Source organism: Homo sapiens, chromosome 10, assembly GCF_000001405.40.
Source record: "Homo sapiens chromosome 10, GRCh38.p14 Primary Assembly".
NCBI lineage: Eukaryota > Metazoa > Chordata > Mammalia > Primates > Hominidae > Homo > Homo sapiens.
In genome coordinates, this window is record NC_000010.11 from 12213564 (window position 1) to 12231471 (window position 17908).

Genomic DNA, 17908 nt, shown 5'->3' on the forward strand with positions numbered 1-17908 from the left:
GTTTTTTTTTTTTCTGTAGAAGACGTTACTAGGACACTTGGCAAATTTTGAATAAGATCTGTATTGTGTCAGTGTTAGTTCCGTGATTTTGATAGATAATTTATAGAAAATGGTAAAATCATGACTCATATAAAACTCTTTAATGCGTGTTGAAGATGTTATTTAACTCATGAGGGAACCAGACAGATTGTTAGAACTGGTTCAAAAGAGAATCCAAAGAAAAGATATATTTTTAGATCAGGAATATTGAAATGAGTATGTAAATGAGGCAAAACTGGTTTTGCCTCCCTGCAGTATGGGAGAAAAGACAATTGGACCTCTTCCAGATGAGATAGAAATTGCCTGTCCGTAAGAATTAGTTCATGTCACTATCACTTACCTAGAATTTGCCAAGTTGTAAAGTAGCTCACAGACCTGGCTAAAAACAGATAACCTAGAAGGTTGTGCTGTATGTAAACAGTACATAGTCTTCCACTTAAGACTGTGCATAAACTTTTTATAATTTAAATTTGTTTTAGGATTCTTATGGCAGGTTATCCTAAAGTTGAATAATTTTGAGGATTTGAGGGGACTGATCACATCTTTTAAAAGGCATACATGAAAAGTAATCCTTAGATGTCAAGCTTTATGGGATAGGAAAATTAAATTGCTTTGTCTTTGAAAGTTGAATTCTTTCCCGTTGTAAAGTTTGTGCAACAATGCCGTTCATAGGAAATACTGCCAGTGCCCATCTCACAGAAGTGGGGTTTATGGCTAGAGCGGTAGGGGAGCCAAGTCAGCCGCTTCAGGCAATTATAAGGAAATGCCCTCACATAAATCATAATTGCTTTGGATGGGGAGAGATGAATGGAAAATAAAGGACTCAGTGCTGCTGTTCATTTTGAAAACCTCTCTAAATTACTCTAGTCTCATTTCATGTATCTAAGCTGAAGTCGTCTAGTGGAAGATAGATAGTTATTAACCAGTCTAGAGGTCAGATTTATCTGTAACAGAAAGAAAGGCAGCCTAATTGGACCTTAAGCTCTCGTTTTTATTCCCTAGCCTTTTGCTCAAAGCTGTTTCTTGTTTTGGGGGATATATGACCATGTTTTAAAACTCATTTCTTTGGTCTTTTCTCAGACTCTTGTCACAGTTTTTTCTCTCGCATAGCTGGGTTAGATCTTGGGGATCCACATAACTATTTGATGTCATCTTGGAATGTGTAGTTTAGTTAATTCAAGATGTAGTCTGTCTTTTTTTTTTCCTAGGGAAGAAGTTGATTACTGGATTTTTTCAGAACTTATAGTTGCCCGATAGGGGGCAGCAATCCTCTTTACAGGGTATAAATGAAAATTAATGACTGCGTGGAGAATCTGTTAATGTTTTTGTTTTTTTATGTCTCTTGAGGGCCCTACTTCCCCCTCTCTTACTTACCTTTTTTTCTTTCTTATGTCCATAAGCTCCTGTGATAGTGACCTAGGCTCAAGGCAGGACATAATGACATCAGGCTTAAGTTCCTGTTTAACAGCAGTATTTCTATTCACTTCCGGGTCGAAACAAACACAGAACGTTTTGGTCACTAGCTTATATAAAATATGCATTTTAAAAATCATCCAAACAGGAAAGAACGTTTTACCTTGACTAAGGTTCACATTTTGAGTTTTGCTTGTTTTAAAACTTGTCTGGAAATAGCAGTGTTTAAATACAGTTTGCCACATCATTTATTTTTCATTCTCTCCGTGGCTTTGGGGAATACCATATGGCTAAGACTCTTCCTGCAAGTGGAAGGGCTTCTAGCTCTTCAAGTAGGGATGTTATTTCTGACAACTAGAGTATTGCTACAGGTGATATTCCACCTGTCTATTTTCTCTTGATGAATGCTGGTTTTATGTCGGTGTACAGAGAACCATTCACTCCTTCCTCACATCCTCAGAAGCCTAGTGACTTGTGTCATTTCAGCTTTGCAGGCTTTGATTGTCTGGAAAATGCCATTTAAGCAGCTGATTATTTTATTTCTCTTTTTGGTAAATGTACTTTATCACTGATTTTATTTAGCTGGGTTCAGAAATTCTGATAGTAATTTGTATTCTAAATTCTGTTTTTAACACCCTAAACTATAACCTTGAGATTTTGATCTTGTTTTATATATATACTGTGATGATATTGACGTGCCCAATGATTTCTTCTCTCTCTGTAGGCACCAGAATTTCCTGAGTTTGCCACTAAAGTCCAGGAAGCTATCAATTCCCTCGGGGGCAGTGTCTTTCCTAAGCTTAATTGGAGTGCCCCAAGGGTAGGAACACATAAGTAATTCTCTTACTGTTTGAATATTCTTTGTTTTGCTGTTTATTTCATTTCATATCCCTACAGAGGGTCTAATTATATTCCTAATTCTAGGAAAAATACTGTGGAATTTATTATTAATTTCCCTCTACTGTTTTACTTTCCGGATTTTGCTATACACTTGCCTGGGTCTGTGAAATACTGTATATTCTGCCAAAAGGTAGTTTCCACGTCTTGTGTTGCTGATTGTTTTTGAATTCTGAGGAAATTCATACTCTGCCCTTTTCAAAACTTCAGCTGTTCAGTTTAACAGAGAAATTTTTCTTTGTTGAAAAGTAATAAAAATAAAAAAAGTAATAGTGTCATAGGCTATAGAAATAGAGTGGTTGGAGAAGTCAACTGATCTTTTCTTAAATTGTGTCTTATTATTTTAATACTGCATTGACAAGATTTTTATAAAAGTTAAGGCCTGTGGAAAAATCCGTTAGTTGTTTTAATCCAATAGAAAACAGTTTTGTATTAGCAAAGCTTATTTAAGGAATCAGAGACCTATTTGTAATTTCAAAAGTTATCTCATGCCTTTTTTATTCTAAAATGAATGATAATTTGTACTTAATCTAAGTTTTGTTTTTACTTTTATTATTTTTTCTTTTTTGTTTTTACTTCTAAAAATTAATTATACTCTACATGTACAGAATTTAAAATTTCAAATAGATTTGGAAGCTTGCCATGAAAATCAGCAGGTCTTGACACCTATTTTACTTCACCATTTCCTACTCCCCAGAGGTAGCTGTTTTCAAATATTTTAGTACTTTTCTTCCATGTAGTGTGGATAACTGGATAGTGGTTTGCAACTGTTAGTTTTCTCAAAATTCTGTTATATCCTGTGTCTGATCTGTCTGTGGGAGAGTTGTATTTTTTAAATGACTTAATTATTCTGTAATTTTTAGGCATGTTCCACTGAGCTTTGTGCCTGCTTTGCATTTGCCTTCCCATCTTTTGTTCTTATGTATGAGACATTCACCATTTAAAGTTGTAGTGGTTCAGAATAGCTCACCTCCTTCTCTTTCAGATTTGATAGACGTGGGGTGTAACTGCTCCAGCCGCCAAAGTTCAAGTGTTTGGCTGCCACTCCCCAGAAACGGGAAGAGTGGAAATTGATCTCTCTTTTCTTGGAGAGTAGCTGGTCAGGCTATTTCTTTACTACCTTAATCTTGTAGCCAAAATGTCGATGTTTCTGATACCTCATTTTCTTCTCTTCTATTATCAGTAAGAAAAACACTGGGAAGTACTTAGGCCTGGGCTGAAATGTGAGGACCCTGACATCTCAGTGTTCATAACCAAGTGTCTGAAATGCAGTGGTGACGCTTTTTGTTGTTAAGCATAATTTAACATTTGACAGTACTGCTTAAATTTACTTGACTTTCTTCCTTAAACCCTTGAAGTGATATGCATTATTGATTTTGTTATAGGCCTGAGCATTCATAGCAGCCAACATGGAATATGGACTAAATAGCATGTGCTTCATTCTTTAGGATGCGTATTGGATAGCAATGAATAGTTCTCTGAAATGTAAAACCCTCAGCGACATCTTTCTGCTTTTCAAGAGTTCCGATTTCATCACTCGTGACTTCACTCAGCCGTAAGTATCTCTTATTCTCTCATGTCAATAGTTTCAGTATTTGTGCAAATTTCTCTATAGATGAAATTCCATTACTTATAGTACTATTATAAATCATAGCTCCATATAACAAAGCTATTTCATATTGCCAAAATGACCTGTTAAAGCAAATCTTTCTTTTCCCTTTATAGAAAATGGTGTATAATGAATATCTGAAAATGTTAAGGACTTCCTGCGTCTCTGCCCATTAAACATTTCAGTAATTTTTTTTCTATTATAAAACTGATAAATATTTATCATAGAAAAGCAAAATTAGGGATTACAGCTAAATAAAAACAGGAAATATAAAAGCTCTCATGGCCGGGCGCGGTGGCTCACGCCTGGGATTCCCAGCACTTTGGGAGGCCAAGACAGGTGGATCACCTGAGGTCAGGAGTTCAAGACCAGCCTGGCCAATATAGTGAATCCCCGTCTCTACTAAAAATACAAAAAATTAGCCGGGCGTGGTGGCACGTGCCTATAGTCTCAGCTACTCGGGAGGCTGAGGCAGGAGAATGGCTTGAACCCGGGAGGCGGAGTTTGTAGTGAGCCGAGATTGCGTGCCACTGCACTGTAGCCTGGGCGACAGAGCGAGACTCCATCTCAAAACAAACAAAAACAAAAGCACTCATGATCTTGCCACAATTGGTTATTATATTTCTAGAATTCTATCTATAGATAAATATAATATAAATACATCTATCTCTACCTATATACAGATTTTTTTAATGGGATCCTATAGTTTGTATTTCTTTTTTTTTCTTTTTTTTTTTTTTTTTGAGGCAGGGTCTCACTCTGTCTCCCAGGCTGGAGTGCAGTGGCACGATCTCAGCTCAGTGCAACCTCTGGGTTCAAGCGATTCTCTTGCCTCAGCCTCCCAAGTAGCCGGGACTACAGGCATGCACCACCACACCCGGCTAATTTTTTATATTTTTAGTAGAGGCAGGGTTTCACCATATTGGCCAGGCTGGTCTCGAACTCCTGACCTTGTGATCTGCCTGCCTTGGCCTCCCAACGTGTTAGGCTTACAGGTGTGAGCCACCACGCCAAGCCTGTGGTTTATATTTCTTAGTGGGCTGCTTTTGCACTTACCAGTGTGACATCATTGCGTGTCTAAATTCATTATTTTCCATTCCCTTAGTGCTGCGCCTCTGGAGAGCTGTACCATGACATATTTGACCTACCCTCTGTTCTTCCAGAGCTGCAATGAATATCCTTGAGCTAACTCTTTGTGCACTCCCCTAATTTTCTCCTTAGGATAAGTTTCTAGAAGTGGAATTGCTGTATTTCTTTCCTTTTGCCAGTCACTCTATAGCTAAAGAATTTGACAGTGCAGTCAGCGTTGTAGGTGGACGGAATACCTGCCCTGCTGAGCCGCAGGTGCTCTCTTTATGCTTCTTTTGTTGTCTTCAAATAGCAGCTATTTTTCTAGGTTTTTCTTCCTGTTGCATCTTAAACAGACCAGTTATCTCAGGTAAACTCATCTTTAAACTGGTCTTTAAAGCATATCCCAGAACCTAGAAGCAGGAGCATGAGAGTGAAAATCTTGCATAAGCATGCCACTTCCGCCCTGTCCAGTTGAGTTTGTCCTGCCAGTTCGTTCCATGTCAGACTCAAATCCTTTTTTTGAAGTGGATCGTGGCATGAATAACTTAAGTTCACTACGTGTCGGTCGTGCATCAACTCTGGCGTGTGAGCTCTGCAGCTTGGACATAAGGTTGTAGTATTATATTAATTCAAGAAAGGGAAGTTAAGTAATCAGTGAGTGTGGTTGTGTTACATCGTATTACATGTTTATTGTATAAGGATTTTACTTGTATTGGTATTTCTAGTTTTATAGAAAAAAGTGTGTGTGTGTGGTGTGTGTCTGTGTGTCTGTGTCTGTGTGTGTGTGTTTAATAGAGATGGGGTCTCACTATGTTGCCCAAGCTGGTCTCAAACTCCTGGTCTCAAGTGATCCTTCTGTGCCTGAGCAAGTATTGTTTTGACATTTAATTGTCAACCCTCTGGTTGTGTTGGCACAGGTGTTGGTAGCCTGTTTTAGTAACCAGTAGTATTTTCATTCTAGGAGATACCCTCTGAAAAATAGAACAAAGTTGTGGCTCTTTTTTCCATTGTAAAGCTTTTTGACATCTAATGCTTTAAGAGGTCTTAAAATATGTTACACTGAAAATGCTGTCTACTTGATAATTCAACTGATAATGGTTTTTTTTTTTTTTGACGGAGTCTCACTCTGTCGCCCAGGCTGGAGTGCAGTGGTGCAATCTTGGCTCACTGCAACCTCCGCCTCCTGGGTTGAAGCAGTTCTTCTGCCTCAGCCTCCCAAGTAGCTGGGATTACAGGCGCATGGCTACCACGCCCAGCTAATTTTTTTTTGTATTTTTAGTAAAGACGGTGTTTCACCACGTTAGCCAGGATGGTCTCCATCTCCTCACCTCGTGATCCGCCTGCCTAGGCCTCCCAAAGTGCTGGAATTACAGGCGTGGGCCACCGCACCCGGCCATGCCCAACTAATTTTTGTATTTTTAGTAGAGAAGCGGATTCACCTTGTTGGTCAGGCTGGTCTTGAACTCCTGATCTCGTGATCCGCCCGCCTTGGCTTCCTGAAGTGCTGGGATTACAAGCGTGAGCCACTGTGCCTGGCCCTTATAAGGATTTTTATATGCCTTTAGTGTCAGTTGCAGTGAGTGTGGGAAGACACTTTTGCCTTTCCAGAACTAACTATAAATTGCTTTTAATTCTGAGGCTGATGTTTTTTTTAAATCAGCTTTGCAATTTAATGATCAGCTGCCTCCTCTTAAGCTACGTCTTGCTTTTTATCTTCGTTTAACTGATGTTCCAGTGGATGGTATGAATAATAGTCTGTTGTTTTGCATTTTGTACTTTTTGACTTTTGCATGGCAAGGAAGTTAAATCAGCAAGTGAGTTTGAGGTCTTGGATTTAGAGTGTTTACCCACAAAATGCCATCCTTCTGCTATTATAAATAATTGGGAATTGGCAGGAGCAAATGCCAAGCACTGGGCTTTCAGCCTTTTAGCTGGGCGCTACTAACGTGTCACTTTGTCTAGAAGTAACTGTTGGTAGTTGCTTAGCAATTAATCGGTTGCATAACAGGAAGTGTTGCCATCACATAAAAATTCCTTATTGATAGAACTCAGTAAAGATGAATGTTTGTCACAAAGGCCTTGAAGAGCTCTTAAAAGATTAAATGCTGGGTGTGGTGGCTCATGCCTGTAATCCCAGCACTTTGGGAGGCCGAGGTGGGCGGATCATGAGGTCAGGAGATCCAGATCATCCTGGCTAACACGGTGAAACCCCGTCTCTACTGAAAATACAAAAAATTAGCCGGGCGTGGTGGCGGGCGCCTGCAGTCCTAGCTACTCGGGAGGCTGAGGCAGGAGAATGGCGTGAACCCGGGAGGCGGAGCTTGCAGTGAGCTGAGATCGCGCCACTGCACTTCAGCCTGGGCGACAGAGCGAGACTTTGTCTCAAAAAAAAAAAAAAGTTATAGATTCATTCTTTCCAAAATACTTCCCATTAAAATATTATATAATAGAACATTTAATATAATACAGTTATATATAATATGTATAAATTTATATAACATAAAAATGAGATTATGTTGTTTATACTATTTTGAGGCTTGACTTGACAAAAAAAAAATGTTACAGTCAGAATTGCAAGTTAACAGAAGCCGAAAATAGCTTACACATGGGATTTAAAAAATACATTATTTAACGAGGAGCCTGGAGATTGGGTATTTTTAGGAATGCTCAGTGGCTCACCAAGGTCGCCAGGGCTCTTTCAGGCCCTTTCCTTCCACCATCCTTGACTTAGTGGCTCGGTCTTTGGGTTTCTCACCTAATGGTTAAAAGATTGCTGCTACAGTTCCAAGTATCTGTCATATGAAGACATGACCATATCTCAACCAGAAACAGGAGGGATAGGTTGTTTCCTCTTGTTCTTTTCTGTATGTGAACGAGTAAAGCATTCCTGGAGGCCTCCTGGGAGACTTCCTCTCAGCCCTCATTGGTCACAGTTACCCAGCCTAATCCAGTAGTTGGCAAAGGGAGCAGAATTGCTGTGATTCGTTTAGATCAAGCTTGTCCAAGCTGCAGCAGCCCGTGGGCCATGGCCCGGGATGGCTTTGAATGTGCCACAACACAAATTCATAAACTTTCAAACATCGTAAGATTTTTTTTGAGATTTTTATTTTTTTAATTTGTATTTATTTATTTATTAAAATTTCATTTATTAAATTTATTTTTTAAATAAATTTTATTAAAATTTATTTATTTATTTATTTTTTATTTACTTATTTTTTAGCTCATCAGCTATCATTAGTGTTAGTGTATTTTATATGTGGCCCAAGACAATTCTTCCTCTAATGTTTCCCAGGGAAGCTAAAAGTTTGGACACCCCTGGTTAGACCAAGGTTCTCGACACAAGCATGCGTCAGGGTTATCCAGAGAGTTAGATGAAACACAGGTTCCTGGGCTCCAGGGTTTCTGGTCCAGCAGGCCTGGAGGGGGCCTAAGCAGATCATTTCTAACCTGTTCCCAGGCAATGTGGATCCGCTGGTCCAGGCCCACGCCTTGGTGGCTGCTTAGATGAGTCAGCACATGCATCTCAATGATTAGAGAGGGAACCAGGAAGCACAAATGCTCCCAGCATCTGAACAATCCAGGTTCCATTGGACAGGCTGAAGATGGGAATCCTGGAGGGTAGACAGCTAGTGCTGTCTCCCTGCCTATAATGTACTCTAGAAAATACTGCTTTTTTCTTTCCTGTTCTTCAAATGGTTACTGTAGACAAAAAGCTTTAAAAAGTGGAGGTTGACATATGACATGTGGCCGGGCGCGGTGGCTCACGCCTGTAATCCCAGCACTTTGGGAGGCTGAGGTGGGTGGATCACGAGGTCAGGAGTTCGAGACCAGCCTGGCCAACATGGTGAAACCCTGACTCTACTAAAAATACAAAAAAGAGAGAAAGAAAGAAATATGACACACATAAATTTGCTGACTGTGTTATTTGCCAAGATATAAACATTCTATGTTATTAAACTTGCTGAGTCACAGGCTGCTTTCATTATTTTATTGTCACTTCAGTGGGCTGAGTAGACAAGAAAACATTTTGATACTCAATTGGCATTTAGAAAAAAGGGCTGAGTGAAAAAATAAATTTGTTAATTGTTTCTCTGAGGGGCTCATGATGAAGGAGAAATACATTTGACTGCAGGTCAGGGAATTTGATTTGTCTTAGTAATTTTTTTTTAAAATTTTTTCAAGATAGAGTCTCACTCTGTCACCCAGGCTGAAATGCAATGATGCGATCTTGGCTCACTGCACCCTCTGCCTCCCACAGTCCCAGACCGACATGCTCATCACTGGATATGTTACATTTGTCCTCTTTTTTTTTTTTTTGAGACGGAGTCTCGCTCTGTTGCCCAGGCTGGAGTGCAGTGGCGTGATCGTGGCTCACTGCAAGCTCCGCCTCCCGGGTTCACGCCATTCTCCTGCCTCAGCCTCCCGAGTAGCTGGGACTACAGGCGCCTGCCACCATGCCTGGCTAATTTTTTTTTGTATTTTTAGTAGAGACGGGGTTTCACCGTATTAGCCAGGATGGTCTCAATCTCCTGACCTCATGATCCGCCCACCTTGGTCTCCCGAAGTGCTGGGATTACAGGCTTGAGCCAGTGTGCCTGGCCCATTTGTCATCTTTCAGTGTGCAAAATATTTGGAACAGCACGAGAGAAACGGTGTGTTGATTATAATTATTATTCGTTTATGTATTTTATTTTATTTTTATTTTTTTCTTGAGACAGAGTCTCGCTCTGTCACCCAGGCTGGAGTCCAATGGCATGATCTTGGCTCACTGCAACCGCTGCCTCCCAGGTTCAAGCAGTTGTCCTGCCTCAGCCTCCCAAGTAGCTGGGACTGTAGGCGCACGCCACCACGCCTGGATAATTTTTGTATTTTTAGTAGAGACAGGGTCTCACCATGTTGGCCAGGCTGGTCTTGAACTCCTGACCTCAAGTGATCCACCTGCCTCGGCCTCCCAGAGTGCTGGGATTATAGGCATGAGCCACTACACCGGGCCTAATTATAATTATGAAGTCCACAAAAAATAGCATGTCAGTCCCAAGGCATGTTTAGGGCATAATAAATATACCTATTTATAGTAAGGCCATTTGGCTGGCAGAAAAGCTAAGTCTTCTTTGAGCTGAGGATGATTTGGGTAGTAATAAAATAAAAAAATGTGGCACTCCTTTTATTTTTTTTTGGTAAAATTATTTCAGTGTTTATTTTGCTTCTGAGTAAAGACAAGGGATGTGTAATTATCTGTCATTGACGTACACTATGTATTTCCCCCTGTATTTTTATTTTTTTATTTCAGTAGGTTTGGGGGAACAGGTGGTGTTTGGTTACATGGGTACATTCTTTAGTGGTGATTTCTGAGCTTTTGGTGCACCCATCACCTGAGCAGTGTACACTGTACCCAACGTGTAGTCTTTTATCCCTCGCCAACCCTCACCCTTTCCCCTGAGTCCCAGAAGTCCAGTGTATCATTTTTATGCCTTTGCGTCTTCATAGCTTAGCTCCCACTTACAAGTGAGAACATACGATGTTTGGTTTTCCGTTCCTGCGTTACTTCACTTGGAATAATAGTCTCCAGTTCCATCCAGGTTGCTGCAAATGCCATTATTTTGTTCCTTAAAAAAAAAAAAAAGACATCTGATTAGTCATCAGTACTAGTTAAGCATATTTCTTTAGTTTGGGGATAGAATATTTTTTCTTTTCCTTTCTTTTTTTTTTTCTTTCCTTTCTAAAAATTTGTGTCTATAACATTGCTTTCCAAAATTCCTGTTAACTGGCAAATATTAAAGTGTAGTAAAAATATGCTGGCATAATTTCATAGTAGCTTTCATCAAAGTAGGCCTTTGGGATTTTGCTTTTTTTTTCTTTGGAATAAAATCTTTGCTATTATTATACCTGAGAATTCTTTTAGTTTGCCACTTACATTGTAAATAATGTAACATTTATTACTTAATCACATTTGTGTTTATTTTAGAATTTTCATAGCTTGCTAGAGGGACTATAATTATTCTGCCAAGAATTTGAACTTTGAATTCAACATAAGAGCCTCCTTTCAGCTTAGACTACAAATTAGTGACTGTAGTTGAATACCACGTTCTTTTGGTACTTTGTTGAAAATTTCAGTTGAAGAAATCTTCCAAATTAATGTTAAATAGTAACCCAGGAAAAAAATTTGGGGAATATTTTGTGGTGGTGGTGGTTTTTTTGTTTTTGTTTTTGTTTTTTCTTGAGACGGAGCCTTTTTGTCGTGGGAAATGTGCTGAGTCCTCCAGTGACCTTGGTGGGATTTAGGGTAGCCAGACTGAGTTTTCTAGCTGAAGCTGCGGCCCTGAAGGCTATGCTTGGGGTCCGAGCTGCTCCAGTTTGATGCTTCCTTCCTTTTCCCTATTTCTTCCTTTCCCCAAGAATGGTGCAGACTTCCTGCTGAGGCCTGTAGTTGGTGGACAGGCATATCCTGGCGCTTTTCCCAAGAACCCCTTACAGAGCTTGAACTGCAGCTACTCCTCAGAATAATGATTTCTAAAATATGGGCTGGGTGCGGTGGCTCACATCTGTAATCCCAGCACTTTGGGAGGCCGAGGCAGGTGGATTACCTAAGGTCGGGAGTTTGAGACCAGCCTGACCAACTCGATGAAACCCCATCTCTACTAAAAATACAAAAATTAGCTGGGCTTGGTGGCACACGCCTGTAATCCCAGCTACTTGGGAGGCTGAGGCAGGAGAATTGCTTGAGCCCGGGAGACGGAGGTTGCAGTGAGCCAAGATCGTGCCACTGCGCTCCAGCCTGGCCACGGAGTGAGACTCTGTCTCAAAAAAATAAATAAATGAATAAAAGAAAAGAAAATATGTGTCTAGTCCCCATCTTGGACACTTTGGATTGGAATCTCTGGGGAAGTATTTTGAAAAATCATCTCATTCCACTCTCTCATTTTCAAACCTGTGTTCTAGAAGCTCTGACACACCCTGAGGTTCAGCGTGCAGTAAGTAGTTAACTGAATATAAAGACAGGGAAGAAAAAGCGGGCCTGACAAGTTGTCTACAGATTTGATTGCATAATGAACTTTAGAAATCACCCAATACCATCTGCCATTTACTGCTGAGGCAACTATGAGCCAGTCCCAAAAAATAATTGACTTTTCTCTTTTTTTTTTCTAGCTTCTCTCTTTTTTTTTTTTTTTTTTTTTTTTTTTAGTATTTATTGATCATTCTTGGGTGTTTCTCAGAGAGGGGGATTTGGCAGGGTCATAGGACAATAGTGGAGGGAAGGTAAGCAGATAAACATGTGAACAAGGGTCTCTGGTTTTCCTAGGCAGAGGACCCTGCGGCCTTCTGCAGTGTTTGTGTCCCTGGGTACTTGAGATTAGGGAGTGGTGATGACTCTTAAGGAGCATGCTGCCTTCAAGCATCTGTTTAACAAAGCACATCTTGCACCGCCCTTAATCCATTTAACCCTTCGTGGACACAGCACATGTTTCAGAGAGCACGGGGTTGGGGGTAAGGTTATAGATTAACAGCATCCCAAGGCAGAAGAATTTTTCTTAGTACAGAACAAAATGGAGTCTCCCATGTCTACTTCTTTCTACACAGACACAGCAACAATCTGATTTCTCTTTCCTTTCCCCACACTTCCCCCCCTTCCACTCAACAAAACCGCCATCGTCATCATGGCCCGTTCTCAATGAGCTGTTGGGTACACCTCCCAGACGGCGTGGCGGCTGGGCAGAGGCGCCCCCCACCTCCCTCCTGGACGGGGCGGCTGGCCGGGCGGGGGCTGCCCCCCACCTCCCTCCCAGATGGGGCGGCTGGCCGGGTGGGGGCTCTCCCCCACCTCCTGGAGGGGGCAGCTGCTGGGTGGAGACGCTCCTCACTTCCCAGACGGGGCGGCTGCTGGGCGGAGGGGCTCCTCACTTCTCAGACGGGGCGGCCGGGCAGAGAGGCTCCTCACCTCCCAGACGGGGTGGAGGTTGGGCAGAGACACTCCTCAGTTCCCAGACAGCGTCGCGGCTGGGCAGAGGCGCTCCTCACATCCCAGACGGGGCGGCGGGGCAGAGGCGCTCCTCACATCCCAGACGATGGGCTGCGGGGCAGAGGCGCTCCCCACATCTCAGACGATGGGTGGCTGGGCAGAGACGCTCCCCATTTCCTAGACGGGATGGCGGCCGGGAAGAGGTGCTCCTCACTTCCCAGACTGGGCGGCCAGGCAGAGGGGCTCCTCACATCCCAGACGATGGGCGGCCAGGCAGAGACGCTCCTTGCTTCCCAGACGGGGTGGCGGCTGGGCAGAGGCTGCAATCTCGGCACTTTGGGAGGCGAAGGCAGGCGGCTGGGAGGTGGAGGTTGTAGCGAGCCGAGATCACACCACTGCACTCCAGCCTGGGCAACATTGAGCACTGAGTGAGCGAGACTCCGTCTGCAATCCCGGCACTTTGGGAGGCCGAGGCTAGCAGATCACTCGCGGTTAGGAGCTGGAGACCAGCCCCACCAACACGGCAAAACCCTGTCTCCACCAAAAAAATACGAAAACCAGTCAGGCGTGGCGGCGTGCGCCTGCAATCCCAGGCACTCGGCAGGCTGAAGCAGGAGAATCAGGCAGGGAGGTTGCAGTGAGCCGAGATGGCGGCACTACAGTCCAGCCTCTGCTCGGCATCAGAGGGAGACCGTGGAGAGAGAGGGAGAGGGAGAGATAGACCATGGGGAGAGGGGGAGGGGGAGGGGGAGGGGAGGAATAATTGACTTTTCTAAGACCATAAAATACTAGTACGGAGCCCAAGGTCCTGATTGTGATTTTTAACCTCTGGTCTATTGTTCTCTTACATTCATTGGAACGTTTTCCTTTTCTCCTTATGTAGATTATCTAATCTAAAATATTCATTTGGCTCTATACTGGATATGTGTACAAAAGTAATTTTCTGTCTTTTTTTTTTTTCTTTATGAGACAGAGTCTCACTCTATTGCCCAGGCTGGAGTGCAGTGTCACGATCTCAGATCACTGCAACCTTCAACTCCTGGGTTCAAGGGATTCTCGTGCCTCAGCCTCCCAAGTAGCTGAGCTTACAGGCATGTGCCACCATGCCCAGCTAATTTTTGTATTTTTGGTAGAGATGGGGTTTCATCATGTCGGCCAAGCTGGTCTCAAACTCCTGACCTCGTGATCCGCCCACCTCAGCCTCCCAAAGTGCTGGGATTACAGGCGTGAGTCACCGCACCCAGTCCAAAAATAATTTTCTTAAATAATAGAAAACGTATAGAGGAAAGCTCTAGATACATGTAGTACTTATCAATATGCTGATCCTTGGGGGCGAAAGGGCAGTTTTTTAAAGGATAAAAATAATTAGTTAATTTTTATTAACTTGTGAGAGTTCATGACCTTAATTTTTGAGGCAGGATCTCACTCTGGGCTAGAGTGCAATGGTGTGATCATAGCTTACTGCAGCCTCAAACTCCGGAGCTCAAGTGATCTTCCCGCCTCAGCCTTCTGAGTAGCTGGGATGACAGGCTTGAGCCTCCGTACCGGCTAATTTTTATATTTTTTTTAGAGGCGGGACCTAGCTTTGTTGCCCAGGCTGGTCTCAAACTCCTGGCTTTAGGCAGTCTTCCCACCTCAGCCTTCCAAAGTGTTGGGATTACAGGTGTGAGCCCTGTGCCCAGTCCTTAATTTTTATTGACGTAAAATAACTGTTAAGCTTAATTATTATTAAAATAATTTTTAATCGAAAGCTAGTTTTCTAGTTTTAGATTATTAGTCCTCAAGATAATGTACTGTTAAGTTAGTTTGATTTGAAATAAGAGATTTTTGCTTTACAGAGAAAAACTAGGTTGTTTTTAGTTTTTTTTTTTTTTGAAACGGTGTCTTACTCGGTCACCCAGGCTGGAGTGCAGTGGCGCAATCTCGGCTCACTGCAACCTCCGCCTCCTGGATTCAAGCAGTTCTCCTATCTCAGCCTCCTGAGTAGCTGGGACTACAGGTGTACACCACCAGGCCTGGCTAATGTTTTTCTTTTTTTGAGATGGAGTTTTACTCTTGTTGCCCAGGCTGGAGTGCAACGGCGCGATCTTGGCTTACCACAACCTCTGCCTCCCAGGTTCAAGCGATTCTCCTGCCTCAGCCTCCCATGTAGCTGGGATTACAGGCATGCACCACCACACCCAGCTAATTTTGTATTTTTAGTAGAGATGAGTTTTCTCCATGTTGGTTAGGCTGGTCTCGAACTCCCAACCTCAGGTGATCTGCCCGCCTCGGCCTCCCAAAGTGCTGGGATTATAGGCGTGAGCCACTGCGCCTGGCCACGCCTGGCTAATTTTTGTATTTTTTGTAGAGACAGGGTTTTGCCATGTTGCTCAGACTGGTCTCGAGTTCCTGAACTCAAGCAATCGGCCCGCCTCAGCCTCCCAGAGTGCTGGGAGTACAGGCGTGAGCCACCGTGCCAGGTCTGCCCCCTCCCTTTCAGTGAGTCACCAAGTGATCTTGCCTCCGCCTCTACGCTTCTCCTTTCTGTGTCCACTCCCATTCCCTTAGTTAGACCCTCATCTCCCCGAGGCTATTGCAGCAAGCCTTCTACCAGGCTTCTCTGCCTCCCAGGTTGCTGCCCTTCCCCTAAACTGTCCAACACCATTGTGCCATAGTGATATAGATGCGTTTTTTAAACCCCTGGTACCTGTGAACACAGTGATATTCTTAACGCCTAAATGGAATGATCTCCCTTGCGTAGTTGGAGACTTTAGGGCTCCCCTTTGTCCTTATAATGAAGTCCAAGTCCCCTGGGTGGGCACACGAGGCCTCTCATGACCTGGATACTTCTCTTTGTCCAGAGTTTCTGTCCAGCTCCATCTGTCGCAGTTCCCCCTTGAGTCCTGCACTCCATCAGAGCTGATCTTCTCTAGTTATTTGAATGCTCTGTGAGATCTCTCACTGCCCTCCCTGCCTTAGCACGTTTCTCCGTGCTTTAAATGCGGGCCCCTTCTTGACTACCACTCCCCTCCGACACACAGCAGCCAGCTAATCAGTTCTTCCTTGGTGCTGCAGAGTATTTTTTCTCTAGTGTTTTTAAAATTGTGTCTATTTTTTAGCTTTCTCCACCAGACTAAGCTCAACCAGAACAAAGGAGTCTTCATCATTTTAACATTCCCAATGCCTAGCCCAAGCTTTGGCATAGATGGGCATTTAATAAGCGATATGAAACATTGTTGATGAAAGTGAGGATTTTTCGAGGAGGAAGCAGTATACTTAATGGAGGGCTGAATGGATCTATCTGAGTTTTAAAATGGCACGTGGGAGAAGGATTCAGTTAACTGTGTGACTTTCGATGGCCAACGTTACGTTGAGAGAGAAGTAGGCTGCTGGCTCCACTGTAAGATGCACACAACAAGAACGTGGACAATGACAGTGCCTTCCTGCCCTCGTTGAGAATCAGGGGTTAGACAGTTTGAGTCTTGTTGTGGCCACTAAATTTGGTCTTTTCTGGGTGTTAGTTTCTTTGCCTTTTGACAGAAAAATGGACATTATGCTATCTCTATGGTTATAATAGCCCATAACATTGTTTATTTTAATTTTTGTGGGTACATAGTAAGTGTATATATTCATGCGGTACATAAGATGGGTTTTTTTTGTTTTTTGGGTTTTTTTTTTTGAGATGGAGTCTCGCTCTGTCACCCAGGCTGGAGTTCAGTGGCACTGTCTCGGCTCACTGCATCCTCCGCCTCACGGTTTTAGGTGATTCCCCTGCCTCAGCCTCTCGAGTAGCTGGGATTTCAGGCGTCCACCACCACAGCCGGCTAATTTTTGTATTTTTACTAGAGACAGGGTATCACCATGTTGGCCAGGCTGGTGTCAAACTCCTGACCTCAAGTGATCCACCTGCCTTGGCCTCCCAAAGTGGTGGGATTACAGGCATGAACCACTGCACCCATCCTGGGGTACATGGCATGTTTTGATACAAACAGGCCATGCCTAATTATCACATCATGTAAAGTGGGGTATCTGTTCCACTCAAACATGTATCCATCCTTTGTGTTACAAATGATCCAGTTACACTCTAGTTATTTTAAAATGTACAATTAAATCGTTGTTGACTGTAGTCACCCTGTTGTGCTGTCAAATACTAGACCAGCTATAGAAATGATCCTGGAAGGTACAGTCTTGCTCATAACATTGTTTCGATGATTAAATGAGTTCATATCTCAGGCTGCCTAGGCTAATGCAAAGCATTGAATACGGCTCAGTAAGTGTTCGTCGAATTTGAGTTAGTCTCCTGTTTCTGGATGCTTTTAGTAAAACGTTACTCTCATGTTAAATATATGTTAAGTGTGTGCATAAACTGGCACCAGTAACAAAAAGATTCAGTTGCCTTTTCTTCTTCTTCCAAAGGTTTATTCATTGTACTGATGATTCTCCAGATCCATGTATAGAATATGAGGTAAGAAGCTTATTTTCTTTGATAATTGTAGATGAAGATGTGTTGAGAATTGCTATTTATTCTTAAGTGAAATGAAATGAATGAAGTTTCTTGGATTAATTTCTTCGGGAACCTAAAGCCACTGAAATTTTAAATTTATGAAATATACACATAAAAGGATATATATTATATATAGAGTGTATATACCAAATACATGTATGCAGTATACACTTGCTACAGGATATACGCAGACACCTTTAATAGAACAAACACCTTTATACGCCTCACAGGTGCACCTAATTGTTTCAGCATTTTACCATTTTTATATTGTTCACTCACCTTACAAATAACTTAATAAGAGGATAGGCCGGGCGTGGTGGCTCACGCCTGTAATCCCAGCACTTTGAGAGGCCGAGGTGGGTGGATCATCTGAGATCAGGAGTGCGAGACCAGCCTGGCCATCATGGCGAAACCCCGCATCTCTACTAAAAATACA

At 42.6% G+C, this 17908-nt stretch overlaps 1 protein-coding gene across 2 annotated transcripts in view, besides 2 other annotated features; it reads left to right on the forward strand.

Annotated features, from left to right (window-relative positions):
* CDC123 (cell division cycle 123) overlaps nt 1-17908 on the forward strand; it is a 54402-nt gene that overhangs the window by 17376 nt on the left and 19118 nt on the right. Inside the window, exons 5-7 of one of the 2 annotated variants that reach the window (NM_006023.3) lie at nt 2177-2272; nt 3798-3904; nt 17385-17433. In NM_006023.3, the coding sequence (NP_006014.2) occupies nt 2177-2272; nt 3798-3904; nt 17385-17433 (252 nt within the window). The remainder of the gene's footprint in view (nt 1-2176; nt 2273-3797; nt 3905-17384; nt 17434-17908) is intronic. The other variant, XM_005252638.5, reaches the window with a different exon arrangement.
* Nucleotides 12143-13078: an enhancer, noted in NCBI's record as "NANOG-H3K27ac-H3K4me1 hESC enhancer chr10:12267705-12268640 (GRCh37/hg19 assembly coordinates)". NCBI's record gives its function as "activates a minimal SCP1, AML or CMV promoter by ChIP-STARR-seq in primed H9 embryonic stem cells {active_cell/tissue: H9 hESC(primed)}" and the evidence as "EXISTENCE:reporter gene assay evidence [ECO:0000049][PMID:30033119]".
* Nucleotides 13079-14012: an enhancer, noted in NCBI's record as "H3K27ac-H3K4me1 hESC enhancer chr10:12268641-12269574 (GRCh37/hg19 assembly coordinates)". NCBI's record gives its function as "activates a minimal SCP1, AML or CMV promoter by ChIP-STARR-seq in primed H9 embryonic stem cells {active_cell/tissue: H9 hESC(primed)}" and the evidence as "EXISTENCE:reporter gene assay evidence [ECO:0000049][PMID:30033119]".